Below are 20,317 nucleotides of genomic sequence, written 5' to 3'. Positions count from 1 at the left end.
AGAACAGTTCGATTCACTGTAATAAAGCACCTCACAGTGCTTCTCTGGAAAGGATAATAACTTGGCCAAGTTCACCCAGTAAGAAGGGGATCCAGCTTCTCTGCTATTTTCCTTTCAAGAAATGATGGTGGATGGTACCTGGAACTAAGGTAATTCTTCTAGGTATGGAGGCAAACAGACATTTAGGAAGAAGAAACATGTCTGTAAGAAAAGCCTCTCTTGTAGGAGTGGGAGAGTACTATCTTGAGGTGTCGTAGCGAGGAACACTTAACATCCAGTAGTAATAACAGCTAACATGTTGCCAATATGATATAAATCCATATTTAGTTTAACTAGCATTTATTGAGTACTTTCTATTTGCTAAGTTCTACGCTAGATTTTTGTACCTACACAGTACTATAAACTCATGTGCTGAATCGTCTTTGATTTTGATATTTTAAACTCTGTCCTTTACATACAGGACAAAGACAATGCTGGTTTCAACTCAATGAAGGAAAGAAAATCTCAGCGTCACCATGGACTCTGGATTTTGCTACTGCTCCTTTTCCCACTCCACCTCTTGCTGACTGTGTGTCTTGGCTAAGTTTTCTCACTCTTCTATCCCTCAGTTGCCTCATCAGTAAAAGGGCAGTGGTAACACCAGCCTCTTTGGGCTGCTCTGTGCTGACTAGACGTGGTATTACATAAACAGCACTGGCACAGCCCTGCCTAGGGAAGTCACCCACAGAGGGCCCGTGTGTACAAAGGTGTTGCTTGTATCCTCTGGCCATCTCGGTGCCATCTTCCTGGCTCCTATCTCCAGCCAATCAGTCACCTGACTTGAGAAGTATCTCAATTTGAGGCACTGGTAGCAAAATATAGGAAGCTAAACAAGTGATGTATGATTATCAGTGTCAGGTAAGTATATGTTTCCTTAGACAATATTTTAAAATATCATTTAAAAACTCAATTTAAAATTCCACAAAATTTGTGTTAAGGACTAGGAATTTTAATTGTGCCACTGGATGTCACTGTTGAATAAATGCACACTTAGGTAAAAACCAGTATAAATTGCTGGCTATAAAACAACATGACTTAAAAGCAAATCAGGTATTCAGCAACAATAGTCACAGAGATATTAGCATTTTATAGTTCAGATAATATCATTTTCGAAACCTCCTTCCACCAAAATTATTCTTTTTGTCTAAATGTATCCTATCTGCCCAGACACACCGGAAAATGACTGGAACATGCTGGTTTTTAGATTTTATTAAACTTGGTTTGGAAAATTGATAAAATGATTACACATATACACATTTTTAAAACCCAGCCTATGCTATATCTCAGCAAATATTTGTATGATTTATATATGCATTGGTAATAATTAATGGTCATCTTTATCTAGATAGAATAATCAAATGCACACACAAACACATTCATATGCGCAAATAACATTTGAAAAAATATTGGAAAAAAATGCAACTGTTCGTGCCCTGGGTCAGACCATCTGTGTCTGTCACCTGATGTGTTATAGGCAAACAAAATGTAACAGGCTCCAAAAGAATGCAGCAAGGCCAACTGGCCCAGGCGCCATGGGCCGTTATGCGGTGCATGGAATAAAGCTGAAAATCACCAGGGGCCTGAGTCCTAATAGGGCGATAGTGTCTTTAAATATAAAAGAAAATTCATTTGTGGGTTTACAAAGTGCCAAATCATAAGCATGAGGCTCTGTGAATTCCCCTTTCATTTGCCTGCTACTCACTTTTTGTAATACCAGGGGAACTTTCACTCCAGGGTCTTTCTTTCGGTCACCGTCCAGGAGGACTGTAAGTGGAACTCCAAAAATCCCATTGTCTTCATTGTGAGACAGTAAAGGGGGAAAAAAAAAAAGAATTAGAAAAGCATTATCTTATTCCACTGTGTCAAAGTGTTAAAGCCAGAAGCAATCAGTCTTCTTAGTTACCTCGTCCTTTTACTTTCTCTGTTTTGTTCCTTTTCAGTTGAATTCCAAAGGCATCAAAAAAGGCAGTCAATTCAATCAGAGAGAGATGGCGGATTTTCTTCATGTCTTCAGCAGACAGATCTCCTGCTTCAGTTAAGCCAAATCTGGTTTTCTGAACATTAAATTTCTAAAACACACAGTGAAGGTATTTATTTTTTATGGCAAAGGAAAATTATTATGCGTTCACTCAAATGCCACCTGGACACTCTAAATCTATGCAGTAGAACGTGTTCTTTGGAAAACATCTCTAAGGAGCATGCTGCATCCTAGAAATATGAATATGTGGTTTAGAACAATGTGCAGATCACTGCTATGCTAATTAGAAGCAAAACAGCAGTCTAAAGTATATGATAACATTGCCATTGCAACTGTGGAAACTGCCTTCTTTATAAGGAACACCCAATATTGTCAAACAACATACATGTCAGGCACCACATGGAATGCACACACCATGGCCCTTAATTGGAATAAATGTGACACACACATAACAGGAAACACACCTAGGTATATCCCAGGAGAGCTCTAAACATATGTTTTTTTTTTCCTTCTTGGGCAGTCAATCTTTAAATCAAGGTTTATCTATCCCATACTGCACACTTTAAGAGACTTTTAGTAATCTCCCAGTTTAAACTGATTATATATGCTTGCTGAGACAACAGTTATTCTACCATAAAAATTAAATTTAAATGATTCCAAATTCTTAAAAAAGCAAATACAGAGAAAGTGCAAACAATCCTACTATGATTTTGAAGACAACGATACTGACATATTCTCTATTTTCACACAAGAAACAAAAGACACTAAAACAACAACAGCAGCAAATCCTTCAACAATCCAGAAATATTGTGAAGAATTTCAGCAGCAAGACCTTTTAGAAGCAAAAGATTATTCTTATATAATATCCACAGGTTCACTTTGCCCTCAGAAAGAGTGGTATTGAAAAAAAATGCTGAAGTAAAACAAAAAAAACCCCATAGATTAAATTATAAACACTTAAATTTAAATTATAAAGCTTTAAGTTCACATTTTCCATAGGAGTTTCCTAAACTGGAGCTTCCTTGGGGTAGTCAAAGTATCTGCCCATTCATTCATTCTTTTATTCATTCAATAATTGCTCCTTGGAACCTCAAGAATTTAAAAATGAAACAAAATATAGGATGTGGCTTGGGGCATGCCTTGTGCTATTAAATGCTTAGCTAGTTTACCTTCTTTCTGAGGCTAAGTCCTCATATAATAGTAACACATAACAACAATATAAACAAAAACTGCAATCGCTTATTGACCAACTACTATGTGCTAAATCCTATGCAAAGTTCTTCATGGGAAGAGCCAAACCTCAGAAGGAGCTGGCTTCGATGAGGAGATGCAGGGGCCAGCATCCTCTCTTGCATGCCTCTCTTTAAGATAAGGAGGGGCTCCCCCTGAAACCAGAGTCCTGCAGGCTTCTCTCTTTTCCCTCGACCACCACATGTTGCCCTCTAACCTGCAGACTGCTTAGGGACCAGGAAGGGTTTTGAAGTTGGACACACTTAGTTTCAAATCCTATTTCTGCTTCCCACTAGCTGCAGACTTTGGACATGTTACTTAGCCTCTCTGGGCCTCAGTTTCCTCAGCTGTAAAATGGACGTAATCACTAGGGTCCACCTTACATTATTAATAGAATATCTAGTATAGTGTCAGGCCCGTAGAAGGCACTCCGTGAGTCCTAGAGTTCTTCCTTTCCTCTTCCTGTCCTCTGTCATGGGATGGTTGTTTGGGAACGGTCCAAGTCACCTGGTACAAAAAGTCTGTTTCTGCATGACTCAGTTTTTTAGCTCTGAAACTGCCTGGGCCCTGCTCATCAAGCATCCAACCGTAATCAGCACAGAGTATTCAGGACTCCACAAGATAAACTTTTCACACATGCATTGGTTGAATGGCAAACAGACCAATGTTACATCGTTCTCTATTAGGCCTCCTGGATATAACATTCTGGATATAAATAATGAGACTTTGGGGGTAACAAAGTATATAGCTCTCTTTGCCCATCATGTACTAATAGAAGTTCTTGAATTGGTTTTGATGTGTTTTTATTGTCTGTTCCATGAGCTCTCACTTCCTCTCATGACTGTGACTTTTTGCAGTCCCCTCTTCTGATATGTGGCTTATAGAGGCACAAGTGTGTAAAGGTAGGGTCTGCATTGATGTATGAGAAAAGTAAGAATATAAAGTGCAAGAAAGCTCACAAGCCAGGCAGGTAGAATCCTATTTCATTTGTAAAACAGTATTCAAGCCTACAGCCTCACAACTTTTCCTCCACACAGGTACAGCCAGGCAGGCTGTGCACTGCACAACAAGTGGTGCCCACATAACACCCCCAATGGTAGTGTGAGCAGTGTGATGCCTGGCCGCTGAAATCCCCGTGCACACACACAGATATTTAAAAAAAGAAATCTTGGCCATGCACGGCGGCTCACACCTGTAATCCCAGCACTTTGAGAGGCCGAGGCAGGCAGATCGTGAGGTCAGGAGATCGAGACCATCCTGGCTAACATGGTGAAACCCCATCTCTACCAAAAATACAAAAAATTAGCCGGGCAAGTTGGCAGGTGCCTGTAGTCCCAGCTACTCGGGAGGCTGAGGCAGGAGAATGGCGTGAACCCGGGAGGCAGAGCTTGCAGTGAGCCGAGATCGCGCCACTGCACTCCAGCCTGGGGCAATAGAGCGAGACTCCGTCTCAAAAAAAAAAAAGAAAAAGAAATCTTAGTTTTGTCCTATGAAGTCACAGGAAGTTCCTGGAATAATCATGAAAGGTTTTGCTTACAGTTAAAACATAGTCTTCTTTCTTAATCTCTGATTTCTTAAGTTTATTTCTTTTTAGAGCCTCCGTAACCATTTCTGAATAAGACACTTCAAATGACAGCTCTTCAGCCTCTGGTGGAATGTTCTTTTCCAGAAAATCATCATCTAAAGACAAAACAAAGAATACAGACTATTTAATATGCTATTTAATCAATCAATACTATTTGCTATAAAACAAATTCAAAATATTTACAAGTGAATCCACAAGCACGTTACAGTGTTTATATGCGAGGAAAAGCAGCAGACTCACCCCGAGGAGTTCAGTTAAACAACAGTGTCGCATCACAGACCTCCATATGGACACATTTTTATCATCATTGCCCAAACAAACTATTTACTCTGATTTTTAAAATTTTAGATTTGTATGTCTCATGAAAGTTGCTGAGGATTATTAAAAGAAAGTCCAAAATAGGGTATTTCTATATATTCTTATGATATTAAAATTAAGCTCATCTAGACCCAATGTCACTGTTACGGGTAAGCAGAAGCTTAAAGCAGAGGAAGAAAGGCTGGAAACTGCTAGAATTCCTCTCTGCTTTGACTCCTGTTGTTTCTTCCCTCACCTGTGGAATATCTGCCTCTTAAGGTTTGTTCAAATTCCATTTGTATTTCATGGCTAAATTTGTTCAGGTGAATTAATCGGAATTTCTGTTATTTAATATTGGTTACCTGATCTTGTATGACATACATTGAGAAAAAGCTGAATGGGTTATATGTAGTACCCCTTAAAAATGTTTTTCTCAAGCTAATTTGAAAGTTAAGACAAAAGAGTCACTGAGCAAAAACAAGTGAATCCATAAATCATTTGAGCGATCCTAACCTGATTTCGGATTCAGATTTCAGCTTGTCATCTGGTTTCATTGCCTGGCAAAACTGTTCATATGCAAAGTGAATAATTATTTTATTATAAAAAGAACTCATTCTCTTTTGCCCTCTGCTGTAGGCACTGACTAGGGGACTACCAAGTATAACAAAAGGAACAAAAGGCAGAATTAAAGAAAACTTAGTTAATTTTACATTAAAATTAGGTGGAGAAATTTGTAAGTCAACAGATATAAAAATTCTGAATAGTGATGCTAATTAAAAACACAATAATAAATGAGTGCAGCGAGAACTTAGAAAATAGCAAAGGGACGCCAGGCACAGTGGCTCATGCCTATAATCCCAGCACTTTGGGAGGCTGAGGTGGGCAGATCACCTGAGGTCAGGAGTTTGAGACCAGCCTGGCCAACATAGAGAAACGCCGTCTCTACTAAAAATACAAAAATTAGCTGGGTGTGGTGGCAGGCACCTGTAATTCCAGCTACTCAAGAGGCTGAGTCAGGAGAATCACTTGAACTCAAGAGGCAGAGGCTGCAGTGAGCTGAGATCGTGCTACTGCACTCCAGCCTGAGTGACAAGAGCGAAACTCCATCTCAAAAAAAAAAAAAAAAAAAAAAAAGAATGGCAAAAGGAGAGCTATGATGCTCCCTTGTTATACAGGGGCTTGCATTCAAAACAGAGGAAGATAAACAAATAGAACTCTAACTACCTATGGATCTATAAAGAGCCTCTTTGGAGAGCAGCAATTAAACAGGCCAATGCTCCAAACCACAGGACAATTCCACGTAGAAGGCTGGTTTTTAGTGGCATGATTGCAACTAAGTCACAGTATGGCAACAAATAGAATGATGTAGAATACTAATGTCTGGCAAGTCCCTTCTTTTTTATTTTTATTTTTTCTTATCAGCTTTATTGAGATACACTTCACATGCCATTCGATTCACCCATTTAAAGTGTACCTGCCAGTGGTTCTTAGCTTATTAACAGAGTGGTACAACCATCACCATGATCAATTTTAGAACATTTTCATCACCTCAGCACCTTTATTTTTGAAGCCAATGCTGAAAAAAGCACAGGATCCATTATTTACAAAAAGAATGCATGTATTTTGGGAAAAACTGAGAAATCACAAAAATATGGCCAAAAGGGGCCTATTTCCTACAAGGAGGATCTGAGATTCCATACCTAGCCCATCTAGGGAGCCCACCTCTCAAGCGGAAGAGGCGCAGATAAAAGCCTCCCCAGCAGCCTTGTCAGGGGGCAAGCTGCTCTGGTGCTGCGTGTGCCTGAGCAGTGAGTAGGGATCCTCAGAAGTGGCCTACTCCTGGCAGACCACATCACTTGGGAAACAGCCTTTAAAGCAAAGACACTAGCCATGTGAGGAGTTTCTAAATGATGAGGTGGTCGTGAAGGAGGAAAAGATTCTGCTTCCAATCTGGCTCTATTAATTTTGTCTTGTGTGACAGAATGGGGTGTTTGGAGTTGGGTGGAAGGAGTGAGCGATGGAAGTGACAGAATCACAACAGGGAGAAAAGCACACTTATACTTCGCTTTTAGAAATTCACTGCTAACTGTATTGAGTGCCAGAACAAAAGCGAGAAGACACAGCTGAAGTTCAACAGGAGGCATGCCGCTCACCACTTATCGCATTCTGAACTGGCTGTCCAGGCTCCGGTGATCCATTGGAATGAACTGGTAGAACTGGAATGGTCTCAAGTATAGCCTGCCAAGCAAAGGAAGATGAACACAAAACATTTTACCATAAATACAGTCCACCTCACATTTCAGCCTGACTTATGTTCTGCAGTATACAAGAGTTATTTTCACATAAAAAAAGCCATTCTTGATTTCATAAAGGACCGGCATCTGATTTCCTGTTTCTGCATTCAGTTTGGATGTGTGCAGCTTACACATGTTTCACAAAAGGGAACAATGTAAGGTCCATATAACTGTGCTTTCCTAGCTCTTAAATATTTGCTGCTTATACCTTTGCTAAGATGTAGAGATTATGATTCCTGACATCACATAATTTGATATTGCTGCTTATACCTTTGCTAAGATGTAGAAATTATGATGCCTGATGTCATATAATTCGATAATTATAATATCATTTGTTAATTAATCTTCATGCATTTTTGTCTTACTTATATTAATTATATTGTTAATATAACATTAACATATTAATTCCCTCACAGCAAAACACAGAGTGATAGTAACTAACAAAATATTAGGTATCTTTTCTAATTCAATTTCCCCTCTTAATTAATTTGGTATTTTTTAAATTGAAATCCTGCCAGAGCACTGAACTCCCCTTCAGTATTATCAGAAGTTGAGTACCTATCCTGGTAAAGGCCTGTGAAGCAAACTCCTGCCTAGGTCTGGATGGGTATCAGTAAAAATTTACACACAAATCCTATCAAAACAATTTACATGCAAATCTTATAAATTTTAATGTGGGAGTTCTCTGTGAATATGTGTGATAGTGAAATCTGCTACTCCATCAAGAATCTTTTATATGCTATTCACACATAAAATGTTTTCCCCCAGAGCCTGATTTCTTTTTTTATTCTCATATTTCTTTAGCAATAACTGAACACCTGCTTCATGAAAGGTCTTTTATCATGTACTACAAGTTGCGCAAAGGGGTCTTGAATTCTGAGCCTCATGATCTCCTTTTATTCCTATTTTATTTCAAAACAGTTGATACAATTATAATTGTGTAAATGGTGTATGAATAGATGTCCAATTATTAAAACATAGATGCCCAATTACTGTAATTGGTGGAAGAATGACAAACCGAAAAAAGGTCTAGGGTCATGTAGGTTCATTGTCTGGCCAATGTTTGGTGGCTCTACAAGTAACAATACGGAATAAAGATTACCCAGACACTCAAATCCTTAAAGAGATGTGGACAACTTTTCCCTTTCCTTAAGTTTTCCAACAAAGAAATGCTTTGTCAGACTTTGAAATAACTTACCTATGGGAGAGAAGACTCTTTTGAAAATTGATAAGACTTTTTTATTTATTTAGGGCTTGAAACTGATGGTTTGGGATACTTAAACCTACTGAGTGTCATTATCTTAATTTTCTCTGACAGTTTTACTGGCCCCTAGCCAGTTAATTGTACTGAATGAGTGCCTGCTCTTTGTAATGTAAATAATTATGGGACTTTCTTGGGGGAAGCAGAAATTTGAGTCATAATCCCTGCTCTTGAGCTACTTACAATGAGAAGAACAGAATAACACTTACAAAGCATTACGAAAATGAAGCCACTGTTAAGAACTAATTTCTGTAATACCAACTGCAAGTGTTATTGGAGAGCGATTGAGAGGGAAGAGGTGCTGCCCAGAAGGTTTCCACTGATGAGGTGGTTGGACTTGAGCTGGAACTTAAGGAATAATGAAAAGGACTTCCAAAGGCAAGAGGAGACATGCAGAAGCATTCAGGCCAGATGGAGATGGAAGCAGAAATTTCAGGCATGGAAATATCTGAAGCATTTCAGCACCAGGGATCATGAAGAGACTGGGGTACCAGGAGTCAAGTCATGGTATTAGAAAAACATAAGAAATAAATTAATCAGGAGAGTCAGTGCAAATTATGGAAGGTTTTGAAAGCCACGTCAAAGAGTTGAGACTTAGAATCCTAAAGGTTAGAAACAAAACAGAGCAAGACAAACAAATGCACATCTTTGTGTTACAGCAGAAGAATGATTCATGGTGGAGATGAAGGAACAGTGGCAGCCAATAAACGTTACCTGAGTTGGGATGTAGGTTGAGCAGGAAGGCTAGATGCTTGACATATATCATTTTAAAACATCCGTTCCTCATTAAGGATTATATTACGACTAGCATCGTTTTTGATTTGTACTAGTGATTTTAATGTATTTTAAATATAAAGACCACCCCCATTTAAAGCAACCTTCCCCAGCTTGTTCATAACTGAGCCCACCGTTTCCCTAATGTGATCAACCACATGTGTTTCTCACCAGGGCTTTCACTGCTAAGGGAAGTGACAGAATCACAACGGGTGTTTTCCCTCTGCTGAAAGTTGCTCTGCTGCCCTAGTTACACCAAGCTAGGATTGGAAAGTAGAGTATGAGGGGTTATTATGTTAAATTTTAAATTGTAGGAGCCTGGTACTATCTGCTATAGTTTTCTCCTAGACTTTGACTAAAGTTATCTGGTATGTCCTCCATATTCAATAAAGACCATACGAAACATTTTCAATGCTCTGTTCACTACTTAAAATTTCACTGACTCAAAACATGTTTATGATCTCTCTGACTGGCTGTTTGGTTTTTGCCCATGGTTTGAGTTTCTGTGCTATATGACTCCATGTACTAAAGCCACCTGTGCTTGATTAAACCAAGACAGTAAGGCTCCTCATCTTCTTGTTCTGCAACCAAGATCAGAATGGACAAATCCACAACTTGCAAAAAACACTGTGCCAGAGTCCCCAGAGACCAACTTAAGGAAGCCACATTCACTGACAAATATGCAATGCATTTTACAGCAGAAGATATAACACTTGCAAAATCTATTCAACATGAATTTAAAGGTATTCTGATGATGTCTTGAATTAAAACATTGTTCACATCTGAAATTATAACCTAAATACCTAAATATTAAGACAATGAGAACATTAAATACCAAATATCCATGAGAATAGCCAAAGTTTTATTCAGAGATTCTTAACTTTAATGCAAATGACTAAAATTAAGGGAAATATCTTCATACTCTAAGAGATGAGAAAAAATTATCCAAGTAGAGCCAAGAAAGAATGTAAAAAAATAAGATTTGAATAAATTATTGCAATAGGAAAAAATAGGCACAATTAAATAAAGTTAGTTATCTCTTTAAAAATATTGCTGCTGGAAAGATTAGGCATGCATAGGAATGGGGGGATATGGGAAATCGCTGTACTTTTCCACTCAATTTTGCTGCGAACCTGAAACTGCTCTAAAAAATAAAGTTCTGCCTGGGCAATATAGCAAGACCTCATCTCTACTTAAAAAAAAAAATTTAGCTGGGCATGGTGGTGCACACGTATAATCCCAGTTACTGGGGAAGCAGAAATAGGCCAACAGCTTGAACCCAGTCATTCAAGGCTGCAGTGAGCCATGATCATGCCATTGCACTCCAGCCTCGGTGACAAAGCAAGACTTTCTCTCAAAAATAAATAAATAAATAATAATAAAGTTTATTAATTTAAAATATATTGCTGATACGGGCAACTATTTAGAGTCTGATTAAGATATAACGCACACATTTTAGAAACAAAAATGAGTAATATTTACCATCACAGATAATTTAAAATTATAATGTAAATAAACATTTGTGTATGTGTATGCATGTATATGTGTACACACACAATAAATTTATAACAACATACCTTGTAATTTGAAATAAACTGTATATCTTGATAAAGCAAATACACATTACCAAAATTCATACAAATTGGGATAGAAAATAATCTAACCCTTAAATTACATCCATTAAAAAATTAAACAGGCCCAGTGTGGTGGCTCATGCCTGTAATCCCAGCACTTTGGGAGGCCGAGGCAGGTGGATCACGAGGTCAGGAGTTTGAGACTAGCCTGGCTAATATGGTGAAACCCAGTCTCTACTAAAAATACAAAAATTAGCCAGGCATGGTGGTGTGCGCTTGTAGTCCCAGCTACTGGGGAGGCAGAGGCAGGAGAATGGCTTGAATCCGGGAGGCAGAGGTTTCAGTGAGCCAAGATCGCACCACTGCACTCCAGCCTGGGTGACAGAGCAAGACTCCGTCTCAAAAATAAAATAAAATAAAATAAAAATAAAAATAAACAAGCCAGGCGTGGTGGCTCACGCCACCTGAGGTCAGGAGTTCAAGACCAGTCTGACCAACATGGTGAAACCCTGTCTCTACTAAAAATACAAAAAAATTAGCTGGGTGTGGTGGCGGGCATCTGTAATCCCAGCTACTCAGGAGGCTGAGGAAGGACAATCGCTTGAACCCAGGAAGTGGAGGTTGCAGTGAGCCGAGATCGCGCCATTGCACTCCAGCCTGGGAGACAATAGCAAAACTCCGTCAAAAAAAAAAAAAAATTAAACAAAGCTTTATGCCTACAATGATATCAGGCTTTGGAGGTTTCATAAACAAATTATTAAATATATCAAAAATATATACAAATTATAAATATGTGTAGATTTATATATTATATGTTTATATCATAGTTCGATAAATGGCTCCAAGGTACAGAAAAGAACCCAGAGTTTTCAACATATTTGTACAAAGGTTAGCATAACCCTGCTAAACAAATTTTAATAAATTGTATGTGTAGACTAATCCTGTTTACTAGAATACAGGTTAAAATACTAAAATAGTAGTGAATCAAATTCTACAGTTTAATAAAAGAATAACATAACACAATAAATTGGGTTCATCCAATTTTATTTTATTTCTTGGATGAACCCAATTTATTGTGTTATAGTTCAATATAAGAAAAACCTATCAATGTAACTTCCTAAAGTAATTGATTAAAGAAGGAAAACATTACATTCATCTTAACAGATGTTGGAAAATCATTTGATATAATTTAAACTCCATTCCTGATTAAAACAATTATAAAGCTCAGAATCTTAGAATAAATACTCTCCTTAATGATGAAACATTAGAAGAATTCATAAGAAAAATCAAGAACTTATCAAAGGATCCTCATAATTATTAATCAATGTTATAAGTGATTGTGGTCAGTCCTCTAAGGGAAAACAATGAGATAAATAATTATTTTACATACTGAGTCAATAAAATTTTCCATATATGCAGATGATTTCTGAGAAAAATCATAAAATTAAATGAAAAATTTTTAGCAGCAGAAAAGCTTCAGGAAGGAAGCTAAAGGAGACACTTATAAGAAACAAAAAAACCTACTTTCCTTATATATCTGCAAAACAAGCTAGAAAATATCATTAAAAATCTTACGGTTTAAATACCAATGCAAACTAGTATGTGTGAAAATGCGTGTAAGACTTAAAGGAATAAATTATAAAACCTCACTGAAGGATAGAAGACACACATAAATGGAAAGACACAATTATTATTCCTCAATGGGAAGACTCAATGTTTTGAGATGTGGATTCTCTCTCCAATATTAATCTTTAAATTCAATGAAATTCTTAATAAAGTCATAACAAGATTTTTTATGAGGTAGTCATAGCCTTTTTCTATGTTCATCTGGAAGAAAAAATTTCTAAGAAGGGCCAAAGGAAATTTTAATGCAGACTTTGATGAAGGGGAACTTACCCTAACAGATTTCTAAAACAAACCATAGAGACAGACATCTGCAAACCTGGTGGATTTACTTCTCATAAAGTTGGCATTTCAAACATGAAGAAATGATTAAAGACTGGGGGAAAGATATGGGTTAGGTCATGGCTATCTTATGGAAAAGATAATTTAGGTTACCTTCTTTTACCATTTTACAACATAAATTCCAGTAGGGCAAGTTGTCGGGGCCCCCTGAAGTCTTGGGGGTGACAGTAAGTTGGCCCCGGGAATTTAGCCTGGCAGGAGAGGTTTATTTTTACAGGTGTCACAGACAGGACCCCTGAAGCCCTGGCCCCTGCTTCATTTGATTACCGGATATCCCTCCTTCTAGAAGAGACTGGGAAATCAAACTGGGGTCCCTGTGGTTCCTTATAACCAAGAAGCACAGGGCCCAAAATGTAGTTACCAAAGCAATAACTTGGCATCAGTGAGCCACTCTAGCAAATAATCATTTTGTTTACCTTTTCTAAAAGATACTCTGAGTAACAAACAATCCAAGGTAAGTCAAGTCGAAGGCCAGTGCCAGTGAGATATTTTTTAGACCCAATACTGCTGAAACTTTTATTTATGTCATTACTGGCATTCAACCTGCCTTCAGAAAAAAACAAAATGAAAATAAAAATAAAATCTGGGTGATTAACTTACCCTGGACAGCTCTATAACTGCCACACAAGACCCTTTTCTTTCTCTTATACCCTCAAACTTGCAAAAAGCCTATTTGTAGACAATATGTGCTCAGTAAGAATTTGCTGAATGAATGACTGAATGAACCAACGATGCGAAGAAATTCGCAGCTAAGAATAAAGAAATAGAAAAATATGACCAGCAGTCTTACCAGAAATAAAATTGTGGCCATGGAGCTGCCATGGAAACACCTAGAAAGGAAGGCATGCCTACCATCCTCTCCTTTGGCAACTCAATCATACAATCATCCTCCTCCAAGTTCTGGTGGTGTGTGCATGGAACCACACGCAGTCCTGTGCTGCTGCTTGTACAAAATGCTGGGGGTGTTAAAGCCAGCTACAGAGGCCGACAAGGGGTCTGACCATGTCAGGAGCTTCCAGGTTAACTAGAAAGTTGGAGAACCACCGCAGGCTGTAAGCGAGACTTGTATTTTAAATCAATGACTTGAGGCTCTGGGAGGGATGAATTTGAAGGGAATAAAGCTAAAGTCTGGAGATCACTTAGGAGGCTACTTCAGCAGTACAGAAGATAACAATGAGTTTCTGTACTGAGAGACTGTAAGACAGGAGGGGAGCAGAAAGATTTTACAACCATTCACATGATGAAATTCACAGGTCTCAGAGATGCGCATGAAGAGGGGAGGAGGGAGGCAGAGTTGAGGCTGCCATGCAGGGGTGACTGTTGGGCACATGGGTGCCACAAGCTGTGGTGGAAGATAAAGGATCCTGGGCAAGTCCTCAGGGCACGAGTCCCCAGTCACAAGGGAATAGCACAACTGTGTAAGATCTACTGCAGGTCACTCCTTATTCGAACAGTTACCAGACTTTGTGAATGACTGACTTTGTTTTCATTAATAAGTGAGATGAATTTGAGATGACGTCTAAAGCAGAGACACTCTCACTCATTTGCATCCCAATGCCTGGTCTTGAATGGGAAAGTAAGAGCTGATTTACAGTCAGTGGGTCAGATATTGTGGGTAACCCTCAGCCTATTTATGCCATAACCTACAGAGTTATTAGTAAGTTAATCAATGATAAAAGTCACTCATATTATTTTATTCCTCTTACATGATCACTGTGCAACAAAACAATACCATAAACAAAAATCTAAAAACACAACAGCAAAGTTAATTTATGTGGGGCTAACAGCATTATCTCCCTAAACAACAGGGATTTCCTAGGAATGTGTCATGCATGTAAATGTCATCAGCTCCTTGTTTCTCGAAATGGACAGGGGTTGAGGAAAAACTGCCCCAGCAGAACCTTTGAATGTGCCACCTCCATCTGAGTGGCTGTTGTGCTAACTGCTGCCTTCCATCAACCAGCCACTGGAAAACAATTGCCTCATCTGATGGGGTCTCTCACTGTCTTCTGTGGAGGGTCTATCATATCCTCCCTGCAGAGCTCCTGCTCAGAGACAATGAATGGGGATTCGCAGTGGGGGTGACGGGAGGGGGAATGACAAAAATTTTTGACAAAACAAAAGTACAAGTTCTGTTACTTAAGACCAAGTGAATGAATTCATCTGAAGGTAAAGAGTTTGCATGAGTGAGTCCTGAGAACTAAGGCATAGTGGAGAGCCTTCAACATCAAGATGAAGGTTTTGAATTTATCCTGTGGGTAAAAGGAACTTCTGGGTTAAGACGGTAGTTAAGCCACGTCATCAAACCTCTGGGATTTTTCTGAGTGAGCTCAGCTGAGAAGACCAAAGTTAACAAATTCCTCCAAATTGATACACATAAAAAACATCCTTTGATTTCTGGCTGCAGTGACATGAATCCATGGAGTCCTCATTTATTTTGAGCCTCTTTCTTCCTAATTTTTACAAAGTTAGTAGTTCTACCAGCAGCTGTGGTTTCCTTGCAATCTTAGCTCAAGTATTTTTTAATGTTTTAAAGAATTGCTTCTTCTTACCTTCCTACATTAGTTGCTTTGACTTGCAACTGTACCTTGACATGTAACTGTGCTGACATGGATGACTTACCACAGAGTCACTCCTGGGAACCGCAAAACTCCCTTCTTTATCCTGGGATGCGTCAGACAGGGTAGTACTGTTGAGAGAAGCATCATCTGGCTAAATGGAGAAATAAAAGTACCATTCTTATTCAGGCAAATACTTTCTAATGTGTTTGTGTATTCTGCTCTGTGTTCATACTGAGATATGTGTGGCAATATATGCAATTATGACTGCCTGTGCATGGACAATTGCATCCAACTGGTAGTGCAGCACTATTATGTGCCACGTAGGTGCCCAGCCCTCTAAGGACACTGGCCTCTGTGGCAGACACTGATGTGCCTGCCACAAACTCCATTTGCCTTAACAGTATCTTGGTTTTGTTCCAGGGAATTGGGGTAAATCAAAAAACCTGATTTCCAGGCTCATTTGCGGTTAAGAGGGGTCACGTGGCCGACAAGGTGTAAGTGAAACTTTACCAAGTGTATTTATTAAGAAAAAAATATAGGTTCATTTGATACATGCTCATGACAGGACCACAGACGACAGCCTGGAGCTGCCAGGCATGTTGTACAAATGAGGACAATGGGCACCAAGAAGAAGTCAGGGACAGAAGAGCAAGCCTGGCTGTGTCCATGCGGCTGGCCTATCAGACATGGGCCACCCATCTGAAGGGGTCTCCATGTGAAGCAAAACAACTCCAACTTTTTGATTACATGTATCCAAACACAAACTTAACTGGACTAATGTCATAATTTTTTTTTAGCAGATTCTATGACTGTTTTTTGTAGTGAATAGAATTTAGTAGCAATAGTACCAAATTTTGTTTTTTGTTGTTGTTGTTGTTGTTTTAATAAAGCTGAAACTAAGAGATTTTTGTTGCAGTGTAGTATGGTGCCACTGAAATTAAGATGTGAATATTATTTTCTTTAGCAAGGAAACTTATTGCAAAATTTAATGCATTTGATTGAATGTATTTTGCTTGACTATATTTTCTCAATTTTCTAGAGATACTATACATTATTTTACAAAATGAACAAAGATCTTTTTTTTTTTTTAAAGAAACAAATAAGAAACAAGAACTAGTACAAGAAATTTAAGTCAGCTGGGCATGGTGGCTCACGCCTGTAATCCCAGCACTTTGGGAGGCAGGAGAATCACCTGAGGTCAGGAGTTCCAGACCAGCCTGGCCAACATAGGGAAACCCCATCTCTACTGAAAATACAAAAATTAGCCGGGTGTGGTGGTGCATGCCTGTTGGGAAGCTGAGGCAGGAGAATTGCTTGAACCTGGGAGGCAGAGGTTGCAGTGAGCCAAGATTGTGCCATTGCGCTCCAAACTGGGCGACAAGAGCAAAACTCTGTCTCAAAAAAAAAAAGAAAGAAATTTAAGTCAAGATGGTGAACTGACAATCTACCTCCCCTGCCACCCAAATAACTACAAATGGCAGAAAAATATATATTTCTTAGAAGAAAAGGTTTTGAATAGCACTGGAAACCAACGAAGAATTCCATAGCAGGCCAAATGAGAAATTTGTAGGTGTAAAGCAAATGGGATTGGTTTGATAAGATAAAAATCTCTTCCTAAATGTAACATAAAATAAAATTTCTAGGAAGGGAAGAGAAAAACAAATAATGTAGAATGAACAAAGAATAAGAAAGGGCCGCAGACAAATAATTAAGACATGTTTAGAAAAATAGGAGCCAGGCAGACCTCTCTTGCCGTAAATATGTAGACAGCAACTAAATATAACCCAAGGAAAAAACACCAAAAAAAAAGCGATCTAAATTAAATGAAATTGTTGCCTTGGGGATGAATGAATTCCTAGTTTGAGTACAGAAGTCTAAGAGAGAAGGAACTCCAGATGCCACAACAAAAGACATGGAGGGGAGAACAAGAAATGAAATCAGCTTTTATCTCCCTCATTAGTTTGGTTTTGCATTTGAGGAGCCTGCATCCTAACCAACCTATCCCCTTTACACACATTATTAAGCACCCCCTACTCACACAAACACACAATCAACAATTTTGGCCTTTCTGGAAAATAGATCTACTCAACTGCAAAGGAAACATACAATAATTTCCTATACAATCGGAAAATCAATAAAGTCCAGCTCTATGCCTCTGCAGAAAACTTTAGAGGCCCGGTGAGCTGTAATTCCTTCTATCTGCAATGTACCGACAGCTTCTGCCTTGCAGAACACCTTTCACACACTGTGTCCTTAGGTGAAGGCGTAGGGTGAATCCTATCATCCTCCTGCTGTAAAAGATTCTGATAGACGGGACTGGGGGAGGGGCTGGGGAGGAGGACAAGATGAAACACCTCAGATTGATAGTCATGGTCAGAAGCTCTCCCTCCACTGGAGGCACAACCTAAAACCTGAAAACACTCGCTGCCACCCAGCGGGAGGCGTGCAGTTCCCTGACCACATGGTACTCACTTCACTGTGCGCATCACAGATTGCCACACATTCCAAAAGCTAACGCGTTCTCCACACGCGATGTTTACATTTCCAAAATCACTGGAAAAAACTAAACGTTTATATCTATGTTGATACTGAAAAAAATATTTATACAGGAGTCTGTTATTTTTTCTGTGTGAGCCCATGAAGACCCAGCTTTCGTTGACAACATCCTCCACACAGGATATGCAACAGAAAATGATTTTTTGTTGTTGTTTCTGCCTGCAGATCTTTTTTAATGATAGAATTTAGTTATTTTAGATTTACCTATTAAATTATTCCTTACTAAGTTTAACAGCTATGGGTGATGGGGAGATGTGGCTGTGTTTGCTCACAATCTGAATTATGTAGCATCTTTACCTAAGGGAAATGACAATTTATATACTTTATTCTACATTTGTACTCATAAATGTTCTGGGCAGCATTATTTGTAATAACTCCAAACTGTAAACAATCCAAATGTCCATCATCAGGTGAACATCAATAGTGGTATATTTATACAATGCAATATTATTTAGTAATGGACTAAATTTTTAAAACATACAACAAATGGATGAATCTCAAAATTATTATAAATTAAAGAAGCCAGACATAAAAGAACATACTATAATTAGACTTATATGAAATGGGAAACCAAGCTAAGGTGTTAGAAATCACGGCTGGGCTTGCTTCTCCAGGATGGGGGGCCTGCTGACTGACAGGGCCCAGGAAAAATTTCTGGGTGATGGAGATGTTCTATATTTTGATTAACTGTAATTACATGGGTGATAACGTTTGTTAAAATTAACTGAAGCTGGGTGTGGTGATGCACACCTGTAGTCCCAGCTACTTGAGAGGCTGAGGAGGGAGGATCATTGGAGCCCAGGAGTTTGAGGCTGCAGTGAGCTATGATTGTGCCAGTGCTCTCCAGGCTGGACAACAGAGTGAGACCCTGTCTCTAAAACACAAAAAAACAAAAACACAACCCAAATTATTGAATTATACATCTAAAATGTAGACACTTACAGTTTGTAAGTTATACTTCAATTTAAGAAAACATAAAAATTATTTGATTCCCTAAAAAAATGTAATTCTTACCTTCTGAGAAACTGAAAAGGGCCATTGCTGCTTTGAATTGAGATTATATTGCTATAATAATGGGTATATTAGAGATTAAAAAACTGCTTTGGGAAATAATTTGTTTGCCAAAAATTATAAAAAGAGTGAGACAAGCTAAATAAAAATACAATAATGACCAAGAAAAAATGTTCAAATCTGGAGCATAAAGTTGAAGAAAACTAGAAAACAGAGCAAACAGACTAATATGAGCTAATTTCACAGAATCCTTAGGGTGTCGCTTTTCTAGCCGGAAGCCTCTTTGACAGGTGGTGCCTTTGTCTGAGTTTTGCTCGGGCCCACTGGGTTCATTCCGCCCACTGGGTTCATTCCGCCCACTTGGCCCAGCAGGCTGCACTCGGCTTGTGCTACTGGCCCAGATCCCACGCCTGCCAAGGGCAAGCTAGGTGCGGAGTGGCAAGGGGTGTGTGAGCAAGCGCAGGGTCCAGCCACAGCACAGAGCCAGGCACGTCAGCTGCAGTGGGGCAGGCAGCTCCAAGTGCCAGTACAGGCACTGGCTCTGTACAAGGCTACGGCTGGACCAGGTGTACCACAGGTGGCTTCCACTGTGGGCACCAGGGAATGCGGTGGTGCCTAGAAGCCTGGAGATCCCCGGAACTGCAGAGCTCCAAAGAGGGTGTCACAGCCCTGGCTCAGAGAGCCCCTAGGTCTGGGCTCCCCAAAGGGACACAGCTCTTCTCTCCTTCTAGTTGCCCACAATGTGGCAAGTGGGAAGCGTGTTTCAGCCCTGTTTATGTTACAGCTCTTTCAGTCCCACCATTTGGCGGGTCCAAAGTTCTAGTCCCAGGTCCAGGAAAAATGAGGTACACGGACAATGGGAGGGTGAGCAAGACAGAGAGGAGCTTCACTGAGTGACAGAACAGCTCTTAGGAGACCCCTGGTGGGTAGCTCCTTTCGGCAAACAGGTCATCCTGAAGAGACCTGAAATGGGTAGCCCTTTCCCACAATTGGTAGTCCCTGATGTCTGTGTGACTGGCTGAATCCAGGGGTTTTTATGGGCTCAGAAGGGAGGAAGTGCATGCTGATTGGTCCATGAGCGGCCATGGGCGGGCCTGGAAAAAGCACCATCCAATTGACTGAATGGTCATCAATGGAGTCCTCACTCTGGTCAGCAGACTTCACCCAGAACTGGCAGCCCATCCTCCAGGCT

At 39.4% G+C, this 20,317-nt stretch overlaps 1 protein-coding gene across 14 annotated transcripts in view; it reads right to left on the bottom strand.

The window, feature by feature from the left end:
• ARHGAP28 (Rho GTPase activating protein 28) overlaps positions 1–20,317 on the bottom strand; it is a 186,001-nt gene that overhangs the window by 40,200 nt on the left and 125,484 nt on the right. For all 14 annotated transcript variants that reach the window (NM_001366230.1, XM_005258146.3, NM_001410873.1 and 11 more), the window contains 5 exons: positions 15,620–15,709; positions 7,283–7,367; positions 4,785–4,927; positions 1,943–2,108; positions 1,742–1,833 (listed from right to left, as the gene is read on the bottom strand). In NM_001366230.1, the coding sequence (NP_001353159.1) occupies positions 1,742–1,833; positions 1,943–2,108; positions 4,785–4,927; positions 7,283–7,367; positions 15,620–15,709 (576 nt within the window). The remainder of the gene's footprint in view (positions 1–1,741; positions 1,834–1,942; positions 2,109–4,784; positions 4,928–7,282; positions 7,368–15,619; positions 15,710–20,317) is intronic.

The sequence above is a fragment of the Homo sapiens genome, chromosome 18 (assembly GCF_000001405.40).
Source record: "Homo sapiens chromosome 18, GRCh38.p14 Primary Assembly".
Taxonomy (NCBI): Eukaryota; Metazoa; Chordata; class Mammalia; order Primates; family Hominidae; genus Homo; species Homo sapiens.
Note: the sequence above shows the minus strand (reverse complement) of the source record. Positions and strands in the feature narration are given on the sequence as shown.